This window comes from Homo sapiens, chromosome 6 (assembly GCF_000001405.40).
Source record: "Homo sapiens chromosome 6, GRCh38.p14 Primary Assembly".
Taxonomy (NCBI): Eukaryota; Metazoa; Chordata; class Mammalia; order Primates; family Hominidae; genus Homo; species Homo sapiens.
The window spans coordinates 122,787,332-122,809,998 of record NC_000006.12 but is presented as its reverse complement, the minus strand read 5'-3'; the positions used below and the strand labels follow the sequence as shown (position 1 = coordinate 122,809,998).

Here is a 22,667-nt window from a genome sequence, read left to right as displayed (position 1 = left end):
GACCCAGGCCTTGTGCTAGTACTGCAGATACAATAAGTATGTGTGACATTCTCATCCTTAAAAGTTAGCAATGCCAAAGACTCAGAATGAAGAAAGCTAGGCAATACATGCCCTGTGATGTTTCAGCATGCTCCTAATGACCATGGTATTTTCCCAAGAGTAGATAGTGCATGTAAACAGTGGTAACATCTGTTTACATATGAGAGGTAAACAATTTGGACCTCAGTTAATACACAGATTTTAACTAAAAATTATCATGTTAAGAAAACTTCATCATATTTAGAGATAAAGAATTCGCTTTATTGTATAAATGACAATTTCAACAAGGGTACAAATTAGATATAATTATATAAACTGAATATTTACATCCAATTTACATCCATCATTCTATTAATGAGCACTTTAAATATATAATACAATTCAGAATGATAAAGATATCTACATTAAGGCATCAAAAAGAAAAAAAAAAAGAAAGCAAAGACAGGAAGTCTACTTGCCCACTCAGTAATTAACAAAGATTTATGTAAAATTCCCACAAATTGATCTCAGAATCAGAATCAGCATTTTCTATTAGCAAAAACTGTGAAATACTAGTAATTGTGCTTTATATAAAGCTGTTTGAGGCAATCTGCATAGGAAATATTATCAAGATTCATAATTGCACAAATCTGAAAGGCCTTACATGTCTTATCACATGTTACACTGCTGTCATAACTCACAAAGAAGTAATTGTAGTATTTTATAAACTGCTTACTGTCTAGGATTGTAAATTGTTTAGCTAATCCATATAAACTTTCCGGCTGCAAATCTTCAATGTCGTAGGTCTGGGTCAGGATATACTCCAGCTTCCAGATGGACTCTCCCTTTAGATTCGCCTCTGTCAGATTCAAGTAATACTGCAACATATCCTGCAGTTAAGAACAGTAACAAAACCTGGTTCACTTTTTGGCACATAAGGCATTGTACAACAAGAAGCGTTCATGTTTAAATTTCTGTGACATTTTAGGCTTGGCGCTGTGGCTCACGCCTGTAATCCTAGCACTTTGAGAGGCTGAGGCAGGTGGGTTACCTGAGGTCAGGAGTTTGAGACCAGCCTGACCAACATGGTGAAACCCCATCTCTACCAAAAATACAAAAAAGAAAAAAAAAATTAGCTGGGCATAGTGGTGGGTGCCTGTAATCCCAGCTACTCAGGAGGCTGGGGCAGAAGAATCGCTTGAACCCGGGAGGCGGAGGTTGCGGTGAGCCGGGATTGCGAGATTGCGCCACTGCACTCCAGCCTGGGTGACAGAGCAAGACTTTGTCTCAATAAATAAATAAGAAAGAAGGAGAGGGAGGGAGGGGGGAGGAGGGGGGGAAGGAAGGAAGGAAGGAAGGAAGGAAGGAAGGGAGGGAGGGAGGGAGGAAGGGAGGCTCAATAAAAAACCTGTATCACTTTTTCAATTTTAAAAATGATGAAAGAACATAATAGCATGTAATCCAAACTATAAAGAGAGGTGAACAAAATAAAAAACCTTCAATTCACACATCCTCAGAGGTAACCATCACTAATGGTTGTGTGTATCAGTGGTGTGCTGAAGGCAGCTCGTACCAGCTCACAAAAGCCGACTGTCAAATTTTTAAGAATGTTGCTAGTCAATCTGTGGCACTTTGGTAGCTTGAAATTGTCCATGATGTGAGTATTTCTGTCATGGAAATTGGCAAACACTACCAATTAAGGCACATTTCCCCTCAGTGAATAGTTGTTAAACATTTGTCAGTACTCCATTGTATGCGTGGTGATCTAGGCTTTAGATCAAAACAAAGATAAATATTTGGAATGTGCATACTTATTTACATTTTTGGCTTTTTCAAAAAAATGGAGTCTTACTATATATGTTGTTGTGTTTTAAGAAATTATTTAGAAATTATATAAGAAATTATTTTTATATTTTTAGAAATTATTTAGTGCTATATCAGGAGAATCTTCCTACATCAGTACATATGTACACACGTAAATATACATTGGAGTCTGAACCTCAGATGCTGTGTATTAGATACATAAACACATATATAGATGGATATATACGTGTGTGTGTGGATGTATATATCTGAGGTTCAGATCCAAAATTAGGCAACTGAAAGTTGTAGAAAAAATTCTTTTGGACTAATTTATCACACAATTGTTTCATTTTCCCATTTAATCAAATATTTATGAATAAAACCAGATTTCTGCCACCATACCTCCTCCCTGTTATTCTGGGGAATAACAGAACCATCTCCTATTTAAATTCATCCAGAAAAAAAAAAGCAGTTATACCAATAATGGCTTTAATTGAAGTGAATTATTTTCAAATTATGTTTGTAGAAAGGGGAAGTTACCCAAACTGAAGTACCCATAAGCTAAATGGCCAGTCTTTTGTGCTAAATTGTTCTAAAGCAAGGAGCCATGAAGCTGCTCCAAAGAACTTTTGTCCCAAATATCCAATTCAATTTTTTTCCCTTTATTTTATTTTATTTTGAGACGGAGTCTCGCTCTGTCGCCCAGGCTGGAGTGCAGTGGCGCAATCTCGGCTCACTGCAAGCTCTGCCTCCCAGGTTCACGCCATTCTCCTGCCTCAGCCTCCCGAGTAGCTGGGACTACAGGCACCCGCCGCCACGCCGAGCTAACTTTTTTGTATTTTTAGTGGAGACGGGGTTTCACCGTGTCAGCCAATATGGTCTCGATTTCCTGACCTCGTGATCCACCCAACTCGGCCTCCCAAAGTGCTGGGATTACAGGCGTGAGCTACCATTTTTTTCCTTTAAAAAAATTTTTTGGGTGTGCCCAGTGGCTCACATCTGTAATACCAGCAATTTGGAAGGCCAATGTGGGAGGATCACTTGAGCCCAAGAGTTCAAGACCAGCCTGGGCAACATAGGGAGACCCCCCCCCCCCATCTCTACAATAGGATTATAAAAATTAGCTGGGCTTGGTGGTACATGCCTGTAGTCCCGCCTACATGGGAAGCTGAGGTGGGAGGATCACTTGAGCCCAGGAGTTTGAGGCTGCTGTAAGCTATGATCGCACCACTACACTCCAGCCTGAGTAACAGAACAAGAACTTGAAAATAAAATCTTGTTTGTTAACATTTATTAAGCATTTAGTATGAGCCAAGCGTTTTTCTAAGTGCTTTACATAGATTTGTTCATGCAATCCTCATAGCAACTCAGTGAATTAAATAATATTTTAATTCCCATTTCATGGAGAAATAGACTGGGACACAGAAAAGTTTAGAAATAATGGCTCATGAGAGGGAATGGTAACAGAGCCTACACTCTTCTTGATACTTATATTCTGGAGAAGAAGAATGAACATGGCTTAGTGAAACATTTCAGTACGTATACAAGTCCACAAACATGGCACTAACCAATGAAAGCATCTAAATAAATGTGAAGTCCTTAGAAGAACAGAACAGAAACAGCCTTCCAAAGACTAACTTCATCAGCTCACACTTAGTAAGTCCTGATAACATTGCAAGTATAAAAAAGAAGAAGGATGCCAGGAGATTTCAACATAAAATACATCTCACATGACTGTCCTGAGAAAAATTCAACTAAATTAATGAAAACTGCAAAGATATGCATAAATATGGGGTCAGCTCTGAAATCTGCCAACTTACCAATAATTTATAATCACGAGGATCATACTGAAACAGTCTGATACCAGGATTGTTGGTCTGTTTTTCTAAAACACTCTTCACTGGTGTAACAGCAGGAGCCACAAACAAAGAATTTACTGGACTTCCTGAACAAAACGTATGCACATAAACATACATTTTTAAATAAGAGTTTAACTATATTAAAAATATAAAGTTTCCAGATTAAGAGATTAACAGACATAACCAAGTGATATGTGATCACTAATGGATACTGACTTGAAACAACTGTAAAGAGACAATTTGGAGAAAATAGGGACATTTTTGTTATTGATACCAGATAATTATTGTTGATTTTGTTAACTAAGTTTGTGGTTATGTAAATTATCCATATATTTTAGCAATGAATATAGAATATGTAGTGCCAAAATGGATCCAGTGTTTGAGATTCACTTTCAAATACTCCAGCAAAAAATTAAAAGAATATAAGGCCAGGTGCAGTGGCTCATGCCTGTAATCCCAGCACTTTGGGAGGCCGAGGCGGGCAGATCACTAGGTCAAGAGATCGAGACCTTCCTGGCCAACATGGTGAAATTAGCTGGGCGTGGTGACACACATGTAGTCCCAGCTACTCGGGAGGCTGAGGCAGGATAATCACTTGAACCAGGGAGGCAGAGGTTGCAGTGAGCCGAGATCGCAGGGTGCGCTCCAGCCTGGCAACAGAGCGAGGCTCCGTCTCAACAACAAAACAAAAAAACTGAAAAATCTTGATAGATGTTGAATGTGAGTGTTGAGTACATAGGAGGTTTGTTTGTATCATTCTCTCTGCTTATATATGTATCAATAAGAACTTGCAAGTAAGAGCTTAATATATTTTATTTTAAGCCGTTGTGTAAATTGTGCTTTGCTTTCTAAATTCTGAGAAATAAAACATGTAGCATCAAAAGAAACTTGAGTGTAGCAGTTAAAATAGAGTGATATTTCTTTAAACTCGAAGATTTAAAAGAACATTTGAGTGAGCTGAGGGTTTCTGAGGCTTTTGTGTTGACAGCAAATAAGTAACGCTGGCCCTGTGGAGCTAATAGGAGCTTACGTTGAAGAAATCCAGCTGCAGGCCTAATGTTGTGATTTGGACACTCATCATACAACCATTGAGGATAATTCAGAAAAGGCTAATGCTGGCAGATTTTTAAATAAAACGTTTAATTTACTAAATCAGCAAATTTACTGGATATTCACCGCTTTGCTCTAGACTCTTAGACTGGGGAGATGCAAACACAGCATTACATTACCTTTTTTATCTGAAAGAACCATAATGCTGTCTCTGTGAGTGTGTCCATAAAATTGTCCTGCAATGACATCACTGTATTTTTGAAAAATATCTATCAATTTCTCATTATAGTATTCTCTCATTGCTGTGATGTTCTGTGAAGATGGCAGATACCCCACTGGAACATGTGCTATGATATACACCTGGAAAAAGAAACACAAAAAGGCCTCATGAGAATCTTTCTGCACATTCATCATAACTAAATGACATTTGGATACCCAAGATTGAAAGTATATTAATTAAAATTTAGAAAGCAAATATATCATCTCTTCTATTTATAAGAAAAAGAGATGAAATTATAAAACTATTAGGGTCACTATATTTGTACACTGTTGATGATATAAGGCAACTGTGACTTCAGTCACAATTTTTTGAATTGGCCTCTTTTTATACCAATAGATGTCCACTAATCCTAAAAGCAGTAAAAGCAAAACAAAATAAAACTTGCTACGCAAGGTGGCTCAGGCCTGTAATCCCAGCACTTTGGGATGCCAAAGCAGAGTTCGAGCCCCCCAGAGTTCGAGACCAACCTGGGCATCATGGTGAAATCTTGTCTCTACAAAAAATAATAGAAAAAAAAATTAGCCAGGAGTGGTGGCGCACACCTGTAGTCCCACTTACTTAGGAGTCTGAGGTGGGAGAATCACTTGAGCCCAGGAGGCTGAAGCTGCAGTGAGCCATGATCACACCACTGCACTCTAGCCTGGGCAACAGAGTGAGACCCCTGTCTCTGAAAAAAAAAAAAATTTAAAACTAAAATGAGTTGGCCAGGCATAGTGGCTCACACCTGTAATCCCAGCACTTTGGAAGGCCGAGGTGGGTGGATCACCTAGGTCAGTAGTTCAAGACCAACCTGGCCAACATGGTAAAACCCCGTCTCTGCTAAAAATACAAAAATTAGCCAGGCGTGGTGGTGGGTGCCTGTAATCCCAGCAACTGGGGAGGCAGAGGCAGGAGAATCGCTTCAGCCTAGGAGGTAGAGGTTGCAGTGAGCCGAGACCACGCCATTGCACTCCAGCCTGGGCAACAGAGTAAGACTCCATCTCGAAATTTAAAAAAAAAAAAAAGAAAGAAAATCCATGAGTTGTAAAGTGTTTATGCAAAAAAAATCTTCAAATTATAATACTTTTATTGATACTGGAGTCTACCCCGAGTTTAATAAACATACAAATTTTGCCTTCCGTTTATTCCCAGATGGTTTTGGTCTATGGGATCTACCTTCTCCTTATTCTGCTGAGAGTTGTTCAATGTACTTTCTAGCCATTCAAACTGGTTGGCTGGGTCAGTCTTGTTCAGTGTCATTATATTTGGGCCGTAGTACAAGTTTGTGTTTAGACTGATGATCCTAAGGTTTGGATTAGTTGTAACTTTCTGTGAATAAAAACCACCTATAAAAACAATTTTAAAACACATTTAGGAAAACATACACATACACACAAACATTGTGAAAGCAAATTCCTGAGGTTTACAATCCAGTCAGGAGGTTGGTGCTTATTTCTCATTGTTTAGTTTGCACATAGATAGGCTGTCATTAGATAAGAATCAGATTTAGCAAGCATTTACTGCAAACCTGCTATGGTGCCAGGCCCCGTGCTATCGCTTCCAACATATTGAGATAACAACAGCTGTATCCAATATTCACATGAAAAGATAAATAAGTGTTTCGGCAGTAAGCAATGAGATTGAGTTTTATGAAAGAAAGATTTACACATCAACTTCTACTTTTATGATTAGGGGCTTAAGATGAGAGACATTGTGAAATATAAAATCCAAAAAATGGTAACACATATGGATCTTGCTAGAGACTACTCGGAAAAAAAGGTCAGACAAACCACAGCTGCTACAATCTCAGGGGAGAGGAGGTTTAAAGGCATCATTCCACCCACGCCTCTGAACCACTGGTGGTGGGACACCCAAGGGTCTGTTGCAATGGCACTTTCAGAGCTGGGCACTAAGATCTGGCCCAGCTTTCTTTGCCCTGAGCCTACTCACTATGCACGGCTTTCCCTAGCTTTCAATCATGATGGATCACTGCCCCTTTAATTTTCTCTATTCTTTCTTGTAGTCACAACACCTTATTATTTTTATTATGGTACTAGCAGGTCAGTTGGGTTTGAATTTGTCAGAAGTTATTTTTGAGAAGCTGCTTTCATGTCCAAGTAGTAGAAAATGACAACAGGTCTCACTAGGGCCTCTGGGATGACAAAGTTTGAGGCCCCTCATGCAAGACATCTCTGCCCCAAATCACTTTTGCCTTTAAGACTTTCTCAGGATGGCTTCTATGATTTTTAACTTAATATTATACTCCAGTGTTTAACTGGATCTTTGAGGGCTATCATTGGAATGGATATCATTATGAAACTCATATGGCTTTTTCTTAGGGCCTGCATTCCACTTCTCAGCTTTTTTCTGCCTCCCCTGCTTTATGCTGAGTCTCCTTAGAAGGCAGAGCATTTCTTTAGGGATCTTGATCATTCTTTATGGCTCTCCCTTCAACCTGCATAAGCTCTCCACGTGTCTTGTAGGATGTGAAGTGTAAGACTAGACATAGGCCGGGCACGGTGGCTCATGCCTGTAATCCCAGCACTTTGGGAGGCTGAGGCAGGTGGATCTCCTGAGGTCAGAAGCCCGAGACCAGCCTGACCAACATAGTGAAACCCTATCTCTACTAAAAATACAAAAATTAGCCAGGTGTGGTGGCAGGTGCCTGTAATCCCAGCTACTCAGGAGGCTGCAGCAGGAGAATCGCTTGAAACCAGGAGGCAGAGGTTGCTGTGAGCCAAGACCATGCCATTGCACTCCAGCCTGGGCAACAAGAGTGGAACTCCATCTTAATAAAAAAAAAAAAAAAAAAAAGACTAGATATAGTTCCCTAGATTAATCAGAACCATAGTCTAATTCTAAGCTATCATGTCTCAAATTCATATATACTATGATTTGCTGCATGCTAGCAAAAACAATAACAAAATAGTGGCAAAAGCCAAAGGGTTAACAAAAATACCGAAAGAAGTATTTTAACTGAGAGAAGTCTAGCCATTAACTTAATATTTGTCTCAACATTCTGAAAACACCAAAGTCTTAGTTTAACAGCTGCACACCTCAGTTAAGCTCACAAAATGTCAGGGATTTACATAATGATGTGTCAAGAGCCAGTGGAGCAGAGGGCCTTTAGACATGACCCAGGGAAGGCCTTACTATGCACTAATTATGCATTACTTTCCCAAGCACCTCAAAGTCCATGTTAAAAGCTTAGTTATCCTCACTTTACCAGCTCTTTGTTTTATAAAATTGTGCTGCTTGGTTAGAAGTTAGTGTCCATTCTCTCTTCTCAATCAATTTTCCAATTAGAAACATACACTTTTATTTACATTCAAATCCAAAGTTCAGCTTTTGCTCCATGGGGAACATACCTACCTAATTAAGAGTAGAAGAAGAAAAAAGAATAGAAGAAAAACAGGAAGAGCTCCCTGCAAGATAAACAGGTTCACGACCTGTGTCACAGGCAGCATTACTACTCACTGTCCTCCACAAAAACTGGGGGCTGTGCTCCAGAAGTGGCACACTCAAGCAAACATTAAAAATTTAAGTCTAAATAACATGAATAAAAATTGAGGCAAAATAGGAATAACTAAGTCTTTCACTTACCTTTCCTTAAAGTACTAATAGCTTCTTCATCTAGCCATGGTTTCCAGAGGTTTGCTACTGCATTGTACACTTTACTGGTGACTACAGGCAGTTGATCCTGGCCACAAACAATATAATCCACCATTGAAATTTAAAGATACACAGCTGAATTAATGTAAACACTACTTGAGCACTGACTACTACGTTAGGCATCTAGAGATGCAAGGATGATTATTAGATAGACTTCATCTTCAAGGAATTATAACTTAGTTGGAGACTGGGGGATAAAATGTAACCAATTAACTATAAGACAATGTGCTGGGCACTACCCAGAGGTCCGGGGAGCCTAGAAGCAAGAACAATCAAGTGTAGCCAAGGGCCAGGTGCAGTGGCTCATGCCTATAATCCCAGCACTTTGGGAGGCCAAGGCAGGCGGATCACTTGAGGTCAGAAGTTCAAGAAGTGTCTGGCCAATATGGTGAAACCCCATCTCTACTACAAACACAAAAATTACCCAGGCATGGTGGTGAGCACCCATAATCATAGCTACTTGGGAGGCTGAGGCAGGAAAATCACTGGAATCCGTGAGGCGAAGGTTGCAGTGAGCCAAGATCGCACCACTGCACTTCAGCCTGGGCAACTGAGTGAGGCTCTGGCTCAAAAAACAAAAAAACAAACAAACAAACAAACAAAAAAGGTGTAGCCCAGGGAATTAGAGAGTGAAGAGACTATTTAAGCCAGGCCTTAAATAAGGACTTTATCAACTTAACAAAAGGGCATCAAAGCAAATGCAATGGCCCAGATACAAACATAGGCATAGGCATAGGCACAGGCAAAAGCACAGAGTTCCATAGGTGTGTACCATGTACAGAGAAAAGCTCATGTTTTAGCATGGCTAGGATATGGGAAGGATGTGGGAGTGTGCTCATTAAAGAGATGCCAAAGGCAGGTTTGAGCCTGCACATGCACTGCCCGATGCAGCATGCCGAGGGAACGGGAAAACATCATGTTTTAGAATTTAACAAAGTCTTCTGAACTGTTCAAACTATTATAAGCTTCTTAACTCTTTGAATAAAGATTTACAACCACATGCTTTTGATTTGGAGAAGTCTCTTTAGGGCAGCATAAATTATATCAAAATATTTTGATTTTTTAAATAACACATTTTAAGTACAAAACATTTTTATTATCATAAAGTATCTTCAGGATGACATAAGCTCTAGTGTAGAAGTAAATGGGGAGCCTCGCCTGGAGGAAAACAAACAAACAAAACTTTAAGAAAGTTAAATACTGAAGCAGGGCATGGTGATTCATGCCTGTAATCTCAGCACTTTGAAAGGCTAAGCCAGGAGGACAGCTTGAGCCCCAGAGGGCGAGGCTGCATTTATCTATGATTGTGCCACTGCACTGCACTCCAGCCTGGGCAACAGAAAAAGACCCTGTTTCAAAAAAAAAAAAAAAAAAAAGTAAATACTGAATAAAAACCCATAAATCATTTGTGAATTGGATAATTGTTTTTAATTTTGTTTTAAAAAATTATGTTAAATGACTGAAACCCCTTCTTCACTCTCTTCATTTACTTCTGTACATTGGTAAAATAGACCTATTTCTGAGAGGAGTTTATCAAAAGTTATTTTTCAAGAAGATGCCCAAGTCCTAGTAGTTCTTGATACATGCGTCTAATACATGATGAACATATAGATACATATAGGGCAAGTAATAACCAAATGACTTGTTTTAATTGGACTAAACATGTATTTTCAGTTTGTGTCCAAGATCAGGGTCGCCTGTCTGAGAATTACACAACAGCTTAGGCCAATCTAGATTCTGATTGAAAATTGGTACGCATCGTTATCATCATATAATAAAAAGCCATAAAGTCTTGGCCATTTATTTACTTTGGGATGGATGCCAAGTATGGTGTGGTGATGGAGAAGCTTAGAATTATGTAAAAATCACTTAGACTTTCTTCTCTATTTTAAACATGAGAAACACAAGCACCAGAGAAGTTAGATGGCTTATCCAGGGATAGGTGTCAGTCTCAGGGCTGGTCTAAATCCCATGATTACTCTCACAGTCAATTGTCTATTGCACCATGTTTCCTTCCCAGTCCTTTTTGGCTGTGACATAACCACTGCTGAGAAATGAAGCCTAATGGAAAGTGACCTACCCACAAATTCGGTGGCACCAGTCTTGCCAGTGTAGGAGTAAATGGGGACCCTTCCTTGGGTGGCAACAGGAAGAATTCTCCAGGATGTCCACACTGATACCTACTTCTGATGTCATGGGTGGGGACATGCATCTGTATATGTATATTTATGTAGCTATGCTGCATGAACATAGAATTTCAGTGGAAAAATAGCACTTATGAAATTTATTTGTTTCTAACATTCTCCAGAGTTAGATCTCAGACATCAGCCTCTAAGAAATTTTGTTGTGGAGCTTTCATGTTACATTTGACATTTCCGAAACTGTGAGGTGGAAAGATGGTAGTAGAATAACAGAAAGAACATTTTTAGATATAAGATCATAAGCTAGAAAGAGAAAAAAAATTAACTGTTAAAGGTATGTAGGCTGCCCAATTTACCCTAGCTGTATATATTAATATAATAGGATATGTTATAGAAGTTAGGTAGCATTTCTGTCTTTGAATTGTAAGATCTGACTTGACAAAAAGAGGACAGAGATAAAAATAAAATCAAACAAATCCTCAAAGGAGTTACAAACATGTATCCCCTGTCACCACTTAATGTGACAATCACCACCAGCCCACTTACTGAGGGCTGATGCTGTGCCAGATAGTAAGCTATGCCTTTTTCATATCACCAATGCTCACAAAAGCTTTGCAAGGTAGGTATTTCTAGCTTCTATGTACAAATGAGTGATCTCTGCATCAGCGAGGTTAAGTGAATCACCCGAGTTGGCCAAGCTATTAAAAGCAGGGCTGGGAGGGAGGTGTGGTGGCGGAGAGGGAGGGAGTGGAAAGCAGGGCTGGTTAAAGATTTACATTCTAGTGACTATGAACACCTGTGTTTTCCAATATTCCAGTCTTCCTGCCACCTAAGGCATATAAACACAATGTGTGTGACCTTGGGCTGCTGGAGCTCATTTGTTCCCAAGCCTCTTCACTGTGTGGTCTAACATATCAACAGGAACAAATGCTCGTTGACAGGCTGACTCAAAAGGACTCACATATTACTCATCTCAAGATAGTAGGCCAGGGACAAGAAGTCACTGGAAACTTAAGCTTATTCTAGAATACAACTCATCAAAATTACTGTATTCAGGTTCGATTAACTAAAAATAATCAAAACCCCCGTTCAGCATTCATTTGACATGAGATGGAAGATATTCTAAGCAAAGAGAAAAATGTGGACACAGAGAGGCGTGAAAGTAGATATGTTTGGGAAATATTGAGTATGTTAATCAGGCAAGGCAAGGGATGTGCAAAAGGATGTTGGTTTAAGCGAACACAGATCTGAGGTAAAAAGATCTAGCGTATGGGCTCTGCTCCCAAGGGATGTGGAGCACTTGGACAAGTAATTCACATTTCTGAGCCTTCATTTTCTCACCTACAAAATGAAGGGTAGGTCTAGACCAGGGGTCAGCAAACTTTTTCTATCCATTTCAACTGCTCTATTCTGAAACATGAAACAATCAAAAGCAATGTAGAATGAATGGAAACATAGCTGTGTTCCAATAAAACTTTATTTACAAAAACAAGCAACAGGCTGAATTTGTACCACAGGAGACAATTGCCCAGCCCTGGACTTAAACAAAAATCTCTGGGTACAAATCTAAGATTTTACACTACTACAATAGGATGCTGTAAACCGGACGGCCATCTTGCTGTTATGCACAGGTTGGTTCTCAAATAAAAACCTGTTGAGCCGGGGGTATCTCAGGCATTAAATGCTCTGAACATGGTTTCTGCCTTGAATCATGTCTTAATTAGATAAACTATGACTTGAACATGGACCTCCTTCCTCTTTGCTTCTTATGGCAATTTGTAAGTTTTTGTTTTTATTTACAGTCTAGCTTACATCAGGGTATGCACATCCTTGTAGGTCTAATAAGAATTCTGGAAAAAGTAAATATTTATCAATATTAACCTTACTTGCTAACCTTGTCATGGACATGCAAATGAACCAGAACATTACTCAAAAGAAAAGAGAAATTGAAGAAGATTATGAAGGAAAACATAAATTAATCATCCACAAACTGGATAATTTTATTCTGAAAACTCACTATTGATACAACTTCTCATGAAGTATTAAAAGATTACTTTTACAGTCCCCGAAGTACTTGTCTTTGCCTTTCTTGATGGTTAGGATTAAGACCATATTCTCCCTCTATAAGACCCATTCCCATGCCCTATCACTAGCTAGTTATTGTCACAATTTTGACACTACTAATAGGAAAAATTCTTTAAGCATTTCTGAAAGTCTATCAAATTTACCTGTGGCCAATAGTCATGATTACCCAGCGCAGGGAAAACCTGGAGATTTGGAAAGAGACTCTGGATGGTGGTTGTCATATTAGTGATCACATTTATAACAGTGTCTGTTGAGAGTTCAGGTACAGGAACATGAGGTGGGCTATCCCTGAAAAAAGAGAGAGATTGTAAAGAACAAAATCAGTTTCATAAAGAGTTACTAGACTTATGCATGATGCGTTGCTATACCTATCACTGCAGACTTCCATTTTAAAACAGCAGATTACAGCTAAAGAGTTGATAGACTACTCTTCACTTACCTCTACCCTACAGATAATCCTATAAAAGAAAATTAACAAAATATAATACAAAAAATAAGCTGGAAATCCCAGCCTATTTCACTACCTGACTGAAGATTTATAAGAGGCTAAAAACTGCAATAATTAAAAGCAGATGCCAATTGAACCAGAGCCCAAATGCCTATTTCAAATCCCAGCTTTGCCAATTACTAGTTGTGTATACTCGTAAGTTACTTAGATGTTCAGTGCCTTCATTTCCTCATCTGTAAAATGGGAATAATAATATCCATTGTAAAAATTAAATAAGTTACAATGTATAAGTTAATTAAAACAGTGCCAAGCCCCAAGTAAATATTCTACAAGTATTAGCCATGGTCATTATTCCAGGTAAAGAAATATGGGCCTCTTCACCCTATAATGATGAAGGGAACCAGTTAGTTATACTGCCAGAAGATGATGCTTTACAAAATTGTCATGACAGGTAAACTTCCATTATTGCCTTTTGTCTTTGATAATTTCATGAAGACCTAATATCAACACCTCAAGATATTGATGCAAGTGTGCTGTTTATGGATTCATCTCTTAGTTAACACTGACATATTTCTGAAATCTGTATTCCAAAAAAAAACACTTCTAAAATTGTTCTTACCTCTAATAATGTTGATTAGTTTGACCTAGTGTTTTTTTAACTCAAATAACTCTTAAAATGTAACTAATCTTATTATGGAATTCAGCACTCTTATGAAGCTTAGGACACTGTAAATAAATATTGAGTAATTAATGGTACTTGTATAATCACTTACCCTGTCCATATCATGAAAGATGCTTCTTGTCCAGAATTTTTAATAAAATCAAATGCTGACAAAATAAGTTGATATGGAGAATCACACAGAACATCTCCAAAAGGGCCAGGGTTGGAGGCATTTGCACCTTTAGATGAAGCACACACTTTTGTGTGGTCATCTGTGATGTGGTAAGTAGGGTCTAAGTGTAAGTCAGTCACATGCCAAAACTGTCCTGTTGATTACACAAAAAATGCAGATAAATCTACTTGTTCTCTTTTGGAATTCTCATAAAAATATTTATATTAAGACTAGAGACGGTTGTTCCTCCCTGTGATGGAGGAAAGCCTTGGTAATTTAAATGTTCATAAGCCTCGAAGTTAAATACAGTCCTTCTCTGTGAGAAGATGAGCTTCAAGGAACTGTAGGAACAATTTACTACTTAAGTGTGTCAGAACTGATGAGCTCAGGCCGGGCGCGGTGGCTCATGCCTGTAATCTCAGCAATTTGGGAGGCTGAAGCAGGTGGATCCCTTGAGGTCAGGAGTTCGAGACCAACCTGGCCAACATGGTGAAACCCCATCTCTACCAAAAATATAAAAAATTAGCCAAGTGTGGTGGCACACGCCTGTAATCCCAGCTATTTGGGAAGCTGACGCAGGAGAATCACTTAAACCCGGGAGGTGGAGGTTGTGGTAAGCTGAGATCGTGCCACTGTACTCCAGCCTGGGCGACAGAGCAAGACTCCGTCTCAAAAAAAAAGAACCGATGAGCTCAGTATTAGTATCAGCATGATAACCTAACAAAGAATATTTAGCAAAGCTATGTTTCCATAATAAAATGTATGAAAATACCCTTCGGAGAGGCCAATGATGACATCATCTTGTGTCTTAATAGCATGTCTCCTTTAAGAGTTTAAGATTTTACAAATTATTTACATTCTTCTTGTAGAAAAATTGACGTATAAATATGATGTCGTTTGTTAGGGTTACACAGTGAGTAGGTAGACTGCAGAACCAGGAACTATATATCACTCTTACTTTCTTATAAACCTTGCCTCTCAACATTAATTCAAAGAACATAAATCTCTAATACAAGCTTTAAGCCAAAAATAGGAATTCCCAAAGCTTCTTAAAAGCTATTTAATAGAGGTACATCTTCTATCATATACTCATATAAAATGTTAATAAAATTAAGGGAAGCAGTTGTTAAAAAGGATGCTTCCATTGGGTTTTTAGGAAGCAGCCAAGCCCATTTGATAGCACCCTTACTTGGAAATCATCTTAAGAAAGTTTTTTTTTGTGTGTGTTTTTTTTGAGATGGAGTCTCACACTGTCTCCAGTGCTGGAGTGCAATGGCGTGATCTTGGCTCACTGCCACCTCCACCTCCCGGGTTCAAGCGATTCTTCTGCCTCAGCCTTCTGAGTAGCTGGGATTACAGGTGCACGCCACCACACCCAGCTAATTTTTTGTATTTTTAGTAGAGACGGGGTTTCACCATGTTAGCCAGGATGGTCTCGATTTCCTGACCTCGTGATGTGCCCGCCCCAGCCTCCTAAAGTGCTGGGATTACAGGCGTGAGCCACCACACCCGGCCAAGAAAGTTTCCTTTATTGAAGGTAATACTAGAACAAATAATCACAGTGGTATCTCTCTTTATTAAGTATTTTCTATGTGCCAGGCACTGTGATAAGCAATTTAAATATACTATGTCATTTGATTCTCAAAACTGCTCTCCGAACTGGGAATTATGGTCCTCATTTTAGAATTGAAAAACCAGTGCTGGGTCAAATAGAAAATTTGTTAAAGTATACACAGCTAATAAATCTGAACTCCCATACTGAAGGGCTTCCAAGTTTGTTTATACATCATTTATATATATATATATTCAATGATCCTTATAAACCATGTTCAAATTGTTTTAATAAAGAGATTTTTTTCCACACTTTTGGGTTTTTGAGTTTACTCTGATTATGACTAGAAACACATCAGAAGTGACAAAGTAGCATGTACTACACCAGAAGCACAGAGTAAACAGGTAGGATGCAAACTTTAAACTCTACCAATATGTTACAACTGAATAAAACCCAAAGCTGGGATAATAAGGTGAAACAGTTGATACGTTAAGGTGAAAGGGGTGAGTTATCTTTTGGTGGTTGTTTCTTCCCAACATAGTTGTCATTATAATTCCATGACATATTTATGTTCACAACTAAGAAATGGTAGACAAAAGATCCAGAAGAAAGTAGTAGTATGGTCAATTACTTGGCACTTAGTCACTATTTGAAAACATCTGACAAAAGCAATTTTATTTTATTCCATAATGCAGAAAATACCCCAATCTTTATTTCCATCTTAGATATACTTTACCCAGCACAAAAAGTAAAGATGGCAAATAGCTCAGAGTCATCCCAGAGAATCATTTTAACGTGAACATGTATTTGTATTATTTCGAGAATGTAAGGGTATAGTAAATGAACATGAAACAATACAGTGTCGTGGTTAAGAGTGGAGGCCAGAGTCAGACTGTTTGACTTCCAACCCAAGCTCCACCACCCACTAATCTTGCTATGTGATCTTGGCCTATTTCATTGATGAAATGGGAATAATAATAGTGCCTACTGTGAGAGTTAAGTGACTTAGTAGAAGTAAAGCCCTTAGAAGGTGTATGGAACCAAGTAAGCTCAATGTTAGTTTTACTGTTATTTTTTTAACTTCAAACCCCATTTCCAAGTAATACTTAAAATTCAAGTACTTATTACATGTTTAGTACTATTTTTTATGCTTCACATGTATGAGCTCATTATTATGTATACTCCATTTTACAGATAAGAAACTGAAGCACACAGAGATTAAATTCAAGTTACATGCATCATCTGCAACAGATCTAAACTATCATCTGCAACAGGGCTAAACTATGAATTCAGGAAATCTGACTCCAGAGTCCACATTGCCCTTATCCACATACAATTCCTCTCTGTGTTTTCACATTCAAATATCTCCAATCTCACTTGCCTCACATGAAAACAGATAATGAAAACGGGTACTCATGCCTGTAATCTCAGCACTTTGGGAGGCTGAGGCAGGAAGATCGCTTGAGCTCAGGATTTTGAGACCAGCCTGGGCAACATGGTGAAACCCCATGCCTACAAAAAATACAAAACTTAGGAAGGATCTCTTGAGCCAGGGAGCTTGAGGCTGCAGTGAGCCAAGATTGGGCCAAGGCACTCCACCCTGGGTGACAGAGACCCTGTCTCTAAAAAAAAAAAAAAAAGGGGAAGAAGAAGAAAGAAAACAGATAACGACAATATCTACACTCGAGATACTGTGAAGATTAGGGGAAAAGAGACTATAAACATATTCAGCATCTGTTTCAGTAAACCCAAACCTGAAATGCATTAAGAGTACACCCCTCTGATATAATTTAGTACCTAGATTTATATCGCCAGCATCTAGAATATGCATGACTTATAGTAGCCCTTCAACAAACATTCTTTAATTTATATATGATGACATTTAGGCAAAGGCAAATTTCATGATATCCTCAAGATCACAGATGACTCAGTAATGAAAGCTTAACTGGAACCAGTCTCTCCAGACTTCTAGTCTAGTGATCTTTCTACTGCATGGCATTCCAGACAGATAAATTAGGGGATAATCATTTAAATTCACTGAAAGATGTCTTTAAACAGAAGCCAAGAACAGAGCTCTGACAGGTTCTTAACCTGGGACTCATGAATAATGAACATCTGGAAGCCTCATGTCCCTCTCCTAACGAAACTGTGTGCCTATGTGTGTTTCCAAGGCCTGGCCTGTGGCAGAGCCCACACTCCAATCCATGTTTCCTAGTTCAAAGTCCAAAGTTCTGTTTACTACAGCACGTTTTCCTGTTCTGCAGACTATCTTTAAAAAGATTTCCAAGTCGGGCGCGGTGGCTCATGCCTGTAATCCCAGCACTTTGGGAGGCTGAGATGGGCAGATCACGAGGTCAGGAAATTGAGACCATCCTGGCTAACACGGTGAAACCCCGTCTCTACTAAAAGTACAAAAAATTAGCCAGGCATGGTGGCGGGCGCCTGTAGTCCCAGCTACTCGGGAGGCTGAGGCAGGAGAATGGCGTGAACCCGGGAGGCGGAGTTTGCAGTGAGCCGAGATTGCGCCACTGCAGTCCAGCCTGGGTGACAGGGCGAGACTGTCTCAAAATAAAAAATAAAATAAAATAATAAAATAAATTTTTAAAAAGACTTCCAAAAATATGTGTGTGTGTTCAGCAAATCTAGAAAAACTCTCAAAATTATACCAGAAAATCTTTTAATCCAAAATATTTTATAACTTCTCAAGAATCCAATGAACCATAGTTCAGACATAATTCAGCTCGCCTTATGCCTTATTTGAACATAGTTTGAACACTCAGCAGTATATGAATGGTTGAAGTATGGCTGCTGGGATTGGCCAAACTTAGCTATTGTTACCAGTGCATACTCTTAAGTTAGGTTTTCAGTCTCATCTGACTATTAAGCTAGGTTACAGTTCATTCACAAGGATTCAAATATAGAAGTAAGGAGTCCTTCTCAGGCCGTATTTAGTTTGCTTTAACAGTACCAATACACAAGCCAGTCCCAGCCTACTCAATCTAAAGAACTGTAGCCAAAAACACACAGGTGAAGCTTCCTAGAACTTCTGTCGTCCGACCACCAGGACTTGACAGGGCAGAAAACTAAGACTGGGAATTTAAACGCAAAAACACAAAACAAGAAAGCAGTAGCCAGGCAGGGTGGATGCTGAAAGGAAGTCCAAGCATGTGGGGCTGAGAGGAGGCAGGAGAGTTGTCACATCAAGTGGAAAATACGCAAAATATTACAAACAAGGAGAATTGTGAAACTGCTGAGTGAACACTTCAGACCTTTGAACTCCAGTAACACTTCAGACTTTCGAACTCCAGTGACTCCAGTAACACTTCAGACCACTGAACTCCAGTAACCCCTCTTCCTTCCCCTTTAGTAGGAGGGGATTCAACCTTGCAGTTTCCCAAACAGGAGGTGTGAAGACTCACAGAGTCCCCAGAAAGCGCTCATTCAGGCCTCTTTAAAACACAGGTGAATTTGCCATTGTGTGGCCTCAAGCAACGTGAGACATTTTATTTCAAAACCCTAACCGGTCACATAATTAAAGGAACACAAGCTAAGCCGTAATAAAAGCAGAAACCAGTATACATAAACATTTTGGGGAAATTTCTTGTAATGACTGACATTTGCCACAGTTCGGAAACCAGATTTACAGTTTTTGCTTCAGACCTGACAGCTGAGTCGTGAGGACTTGGCCTTCAAAGAGAAGATATTTGCCCTAGAGCGCTCCCAAGTCCTGAGAAAGCACAGAGGGAGCGAAAGAGGTTTCAGCACTAGGTGCTGCTACCGAGTCTCAGGGACAACTCTCCCCTAAAAGAAAACAGAACCCCACTTCTCTAATTTTGTTTTTCCTCTTAACAGTGCAATTATTTTTAAAGGGAGTTGAGGAGGTGAGGGCACCTTGATTTTTGGAACTGGAGGCTCGGATGGCATTGTACAATCTCCCACCAAAATGTATCTATTCTGGACCAGTGAGTCTCAAACTTAGCCGAAAGGAATCATGCGGAGGGTGGGTTAAACAGCATACTGTGGAAGCCCAACGCCGGCGTTTCAGATTCAGTAGGTCTGGGATGGGCTGGAAATTTGCAATGCTAACAATTTTAAGTGCGGCGGCTGCTGCCACCGGTCCAGGGCACACTTAAGAGAATCACTACTGTAACGGGCACTGTGTTAAGTGCTGGGAGTGAATAAAATGGGTCCCGCCCGCAGGAAACCTAGTGGACATCCAGGTGAAATGAAGTCCCCGTGAGTTCCACGGTAGACTAAGGGGTGAGTCTACCCGAGGGTGCTTTCGCGCTCTGGCTGGGTGAGTGGCAGAAAAAGCCACTGATCTCGGTCGAGCAAGACAGAAGATAGTGTGAGTCACGCTGAAATTTACTTCCCTGAGCTGGTGGGGAAACTGCAGTCCCCCTCCATTCAGGACCGATTAGGGGCCTCTTGCTGTGCTGGACATCGGACTCCCAGCTTCCTCTTCCCTTGAGTCCCGCAGCTTTTCCTTCCTTCCCCAAGGAACAAAACAACTGAGATGCAGGATGTAAACAAAAGCCAGGCTGGCGAAATCCGGCCGACGCGCCCTTGGAGCGCCCCCACCGGCGAGGGCATTTCCCCCGCCCAGCCCCGGCCTCCCGGCTGGACGCCCTAACGCTGTAGTCCCTTGGTCGCCCTCCCCGCGCCCACCAGCCGTGGTCAACGCCGGACGCGTCAGGGGCCCCGCTAGCCCGAGCCTCTGCCGGGGGCAGCTGCCCCCACGCACTTTCTCCTGCTGTGCGCAGGCGCCGCCGCTCCGCGCTCTTTGCCGGCTGGGAAGAGAAGGGTCGCGGACAACTCACCTATCGCCGGAGGAGGATTCCTGCCGCCTGCGGGCGCCACGGGCAGCCCGAGGCCGGAGCGGCAGTGCCAGGCAGTCAGCAGGCAGCAGACGAGTGCGCGCACCAGCGCCATGGAGGGCCGCGGGGCTGACCTGGAGGTTCGGGCTGTCCCGCAGCTCCACTCGGACCGTCAGGCCTGAGGGTGAGGCGGAGACAGAAGACGGCTGCGGGTGTAGACGTCCGACTGATCACGTGCAAAGGCAGATTCCGCAGCGAGTCAGTTCGCCTGACCTTCAGCTGCTGTTTAGCGATGATCTGTTCTCGTATTTCTTAGCGTCAGTGTTTGGCCTAGGAAGGAATGTACTTGTAGAAGCTCAAATTCCGACTCGTGTATCAGTGGTGCAGTTGATGTCAAACACTGACATACTGGTGCTTGGGGATAGAGAAAGACATTCAATTTAGTAAAAGCCAGAAGGAGGGAGAACAAGATCTCTCAAATCCGTGTGTAAAAAGGAAAAAGCAGGGAGTTTTTATTCTGCTAGAGAATAAGAGAGGGGGATTTTCAAAGAATCCAGGGGAAAAGTCTGTTTCTTCAGTCTCAGATAACACCTTTGAGCAATTAGACGTCCAGGCATCCGCAGCTGGTTGCAAAGCCCTTGGAGGTATTCATCCCTTCTGCAAACATTTTTGTGACCCTGAAGTTAACCTCTTTGTTCTTGACGAGGAAGCAGTACCTCAGCAGTTTATAATTATATTGTGGAAACAAGGAGAATATTGGGCAAAAAGCGAGTGGTTAAAATGTGCAAGCAAGCAGGAGCCTGATCAGAATTTTCATTATTTCAGTCACTAAAAAATGCTGGGGTGCTGAAATCTCAACGATCCCGGTTCCATTCTTGGGCCAACCTACCCCAGCTTTAATGGGTAGGGCTCCTCAGTAGAGGTGATGCAGAGAGCCCTGAAGTATCATGATTTGAAGGAAATCAGCAAAAGTTATGGATACTGCAGTGGATCTCGAATTGAAGTCTCTGAACTGGGAACATTAGCACCACCTGGGAACTCTAGTTAGAAATGCAAATTCCCAGGCACCACCCTAGACCTGTTGAGTCAGAAACCTGCTGGAGCCCAGCAGTTTGTGTTTTCACAAGCATTTCAGGTCATGTTAAAGTGATTGTGATGTTTGAAAACCAATGCTCAAAGATACGACGTTTTGTTTTTTGTTTTTTTTAAACTGCCGGGAAGAGAAGGGTCTTAGAATTAGAACATGTTCTGAAATCATGCTTTATGCATTCCAGAGATGCATGGAAATCATAAGTAGAGGTGGTTGATTTGATGCTTCCACGGAACTTTTTTGAATATACTTCTGGCAAAGAAGTAAGTCTATACAAAGAAGTAAGCAAAGATAAGTCTGGCAAAGAAGTAAGTCTATACAAAGAAGTAAGCAAAGATAAGTCTGGCAAAGAAGCCAGAATCCCGAAACTGTGCTGGATCCTGTATTCTGTGTTCCTTCTCTCACCGTTTATGAGGATGCTGATCTCTTGGAGATGACAAGCTAATAATTTAAATTTATAGGGCGTGGAATTCCTTTGCAGAAGAAAATGCTTTCCATAATTACTAACCTCAAAAAAGATGTTGTAGAGTGTATTTCTTTCCCAGCATAGAAAGCTTTGTTTTGTATCCCATGTAATTTAATGGGAGTGTGTGTCATGAAACGGGCTTTGAAGTGGGAAGCAAGGTGCTTCCATTTTCTGTTTTGTAAACCAAAAATAAAATTTGAAGGCCCCCCACAACCATCTGAATGGACGACCATCTGTATGGACTCTTTCCCCAGTCAGGGCACTCTAAAATTTAACCTGAAAGACTGGTTCAGGCCATGAAAAAGGGGATGGGGGGGTTGGACATGCGTAATTAACATCAACATAGACCATAAGTCTGATAAGAAACATTTAAGATCTGTTTTCTCTAAAGCCTGCTACGTGGAGGCTTCGTCTGTGTGACAAAATCTGGGTCTAACAACCCCTTATCATAACCCAGACATCCTTTCTATTGATAATAACTTTTTCAATCAACCAATTGCCAATCAGGACATGTTTAAATCTTCCTGTGATCTGGAAACACCCACCCCCCGCCCAGCTTCAAGTTGTCCTGCCC

The 22,667-nt window shown here is 40.5% G+C and overlaps 1 protein-coding gene across 2 annotated transcripts, besides 8 other annotated features; it reads right to left on the bottom strand.

The window, feature by feature from the left end:
* Positions 1–278: 278 nt before the first annotated feature.
* SMPDL3A (sphingomyelin phosphodiesterase acid like 3A) lies at positions 279–20,741 on the bottom strand. Of its 2 annotated transcripts, NM_006714.5 has the most exons (8): positions 20,541–20,741; positions 14,109–14,322; positions 13,031–13,175; positions 8,593–8,689; positions 6,166–6,335; positions 4,910–5,090; positions 3,642–3,766; positions 279–908 (listed from the first exon to the last, which is right to left on the bottom strand). In NM_006714.5, exons 1-8 carry the CDS (start codon positions 20,650–20,652, stop codon positions 591–593), a joined length of 1,362 nt encoding a protein of 453 aa, NP_006705.1. In that variant the 5' UTR covers positions 20,653–20,741; the 3' UTR covers positions 279–590. The 2 variants fall into 2 exon arrangements, with proteins under 2 accessions (NP_006705.1, NP_001273067.1); NM_001286138.2 differs by lacking the exon at positions 14,109–14,322.
* Positions 11,421–11,715: a silencer, noted in NCBI's record as "tiled region #10347; K562 Repressive non-DNase unmatched - State 24:Quies". NCBI's record gives its function as "represses a minimal TATA promoter and a strong SV40 promoter by Sharpr-MPRA in K562 cells {active_cell/tissue: K562}" and the evidence as "EXISTENCE:reporter gene assay evidence [ECO:0000049][PMID:27701403]".
* Positions 18,657–18,826: an enhancer, noted in NCBI's record as "experimental_89596 CRE fragment used in MPRA reporter constructs". NCBI's record gives its function as "activates a minimal promoter by MPRAs in K562 erythroleukemia cells, with activity observed for the non-introgressed 6:123112403 or rs13200490 variant allele {active_cell/tissue: K562}" and the evidence as "EXISTENCE:reporter gene assay evidence [ECO:0000049][PMID:34662402]".
* Position 18,741: a transcriptional cis regulatory region, noted in NCBI's record as "Neanderthal adaptively introgressed variant 6:123112403 (GRCh37/hg19 assembly coordinates) or rs13200490 in the experimental_89596 CRE". NCBI's record gives its function as "modulates activity of the experimental_89596 enhancer by MPRAs in K562 erythroleukemia cells {active_cell/tissue: K562}" and the evidence as "EXISTENCE:reporter gene assay evidence [ECO:0000049][PMID:34662402]".
* Positions 19,021–19,315: a silencer, noted in NCBI's record as "tiled region #4155; HepG2 Repressive non-DNase unmatched - State 1:Tss". NCBI's record gives its function as "represses a minimal TATA promoter and a strong SV40 promoter by Sharpr-MPRA in HepG2 cells {active_cell/tissue: HepG2}" and the evidence as "EXISTENCE:reporter gene assay evidence [ECO:0000049][PMID:27701403]".
* Positions 19,930–20,429: an enhancer, noted in NCBI's record as "H3K27ac hESC enhancer chr6:123110715-123111214 (GRCh37/hg19 assembly coordinates)". NCBI's record gives its function as "activates a minimal SCP1, AML or CMV promoter by ChIP-STARR-seq in naive and primed H9 embryonic stem cells {active_cell/tissue: H9 hESC(naive and primed)}" and the evidence as "EXISTENCE:reporter gene assay evidence [ECO:0000049][PMID:30033119]".
* Positions 20,421–20,715: a silencer, noted in NCBI's record as "tiled region #5986; K562 Repressive DNase unmatched - State 4:PromP". NCBI's record gives its function as "represses a minimal TATA promoter and a strong SV40 promoter by Sharpr-MPRA in K562 cells {active_cell/tissue: K562}" and the evidence as "EXISTENCE:reporter gene assay evidence [ECO:0000049][PMID:27701403]".
* Positions 20,421–20,931: a biological region, named in NCBI's record as "H3K27ac hESC enhancer GRCh37_chr6:123110213-123110714".
* Positions 20,430–20,931: an enhancer, noted in NCBI's record as "H3K27ac hESC enhancer chr6:123110213-123110714 (GRCh37/hg19 assembly coordinates)". NCBI's record gives its function as "activates a minimal SCP1, AML or CMV promoter by ChIP-STARR-seq in naive H9 embryonic stem cells {active_cell/tissue: H9 hESC(naive)}" and the evidence as "EXISTENCE:reporter gene assay evidence [ECO:0000049][PMID:30033119]".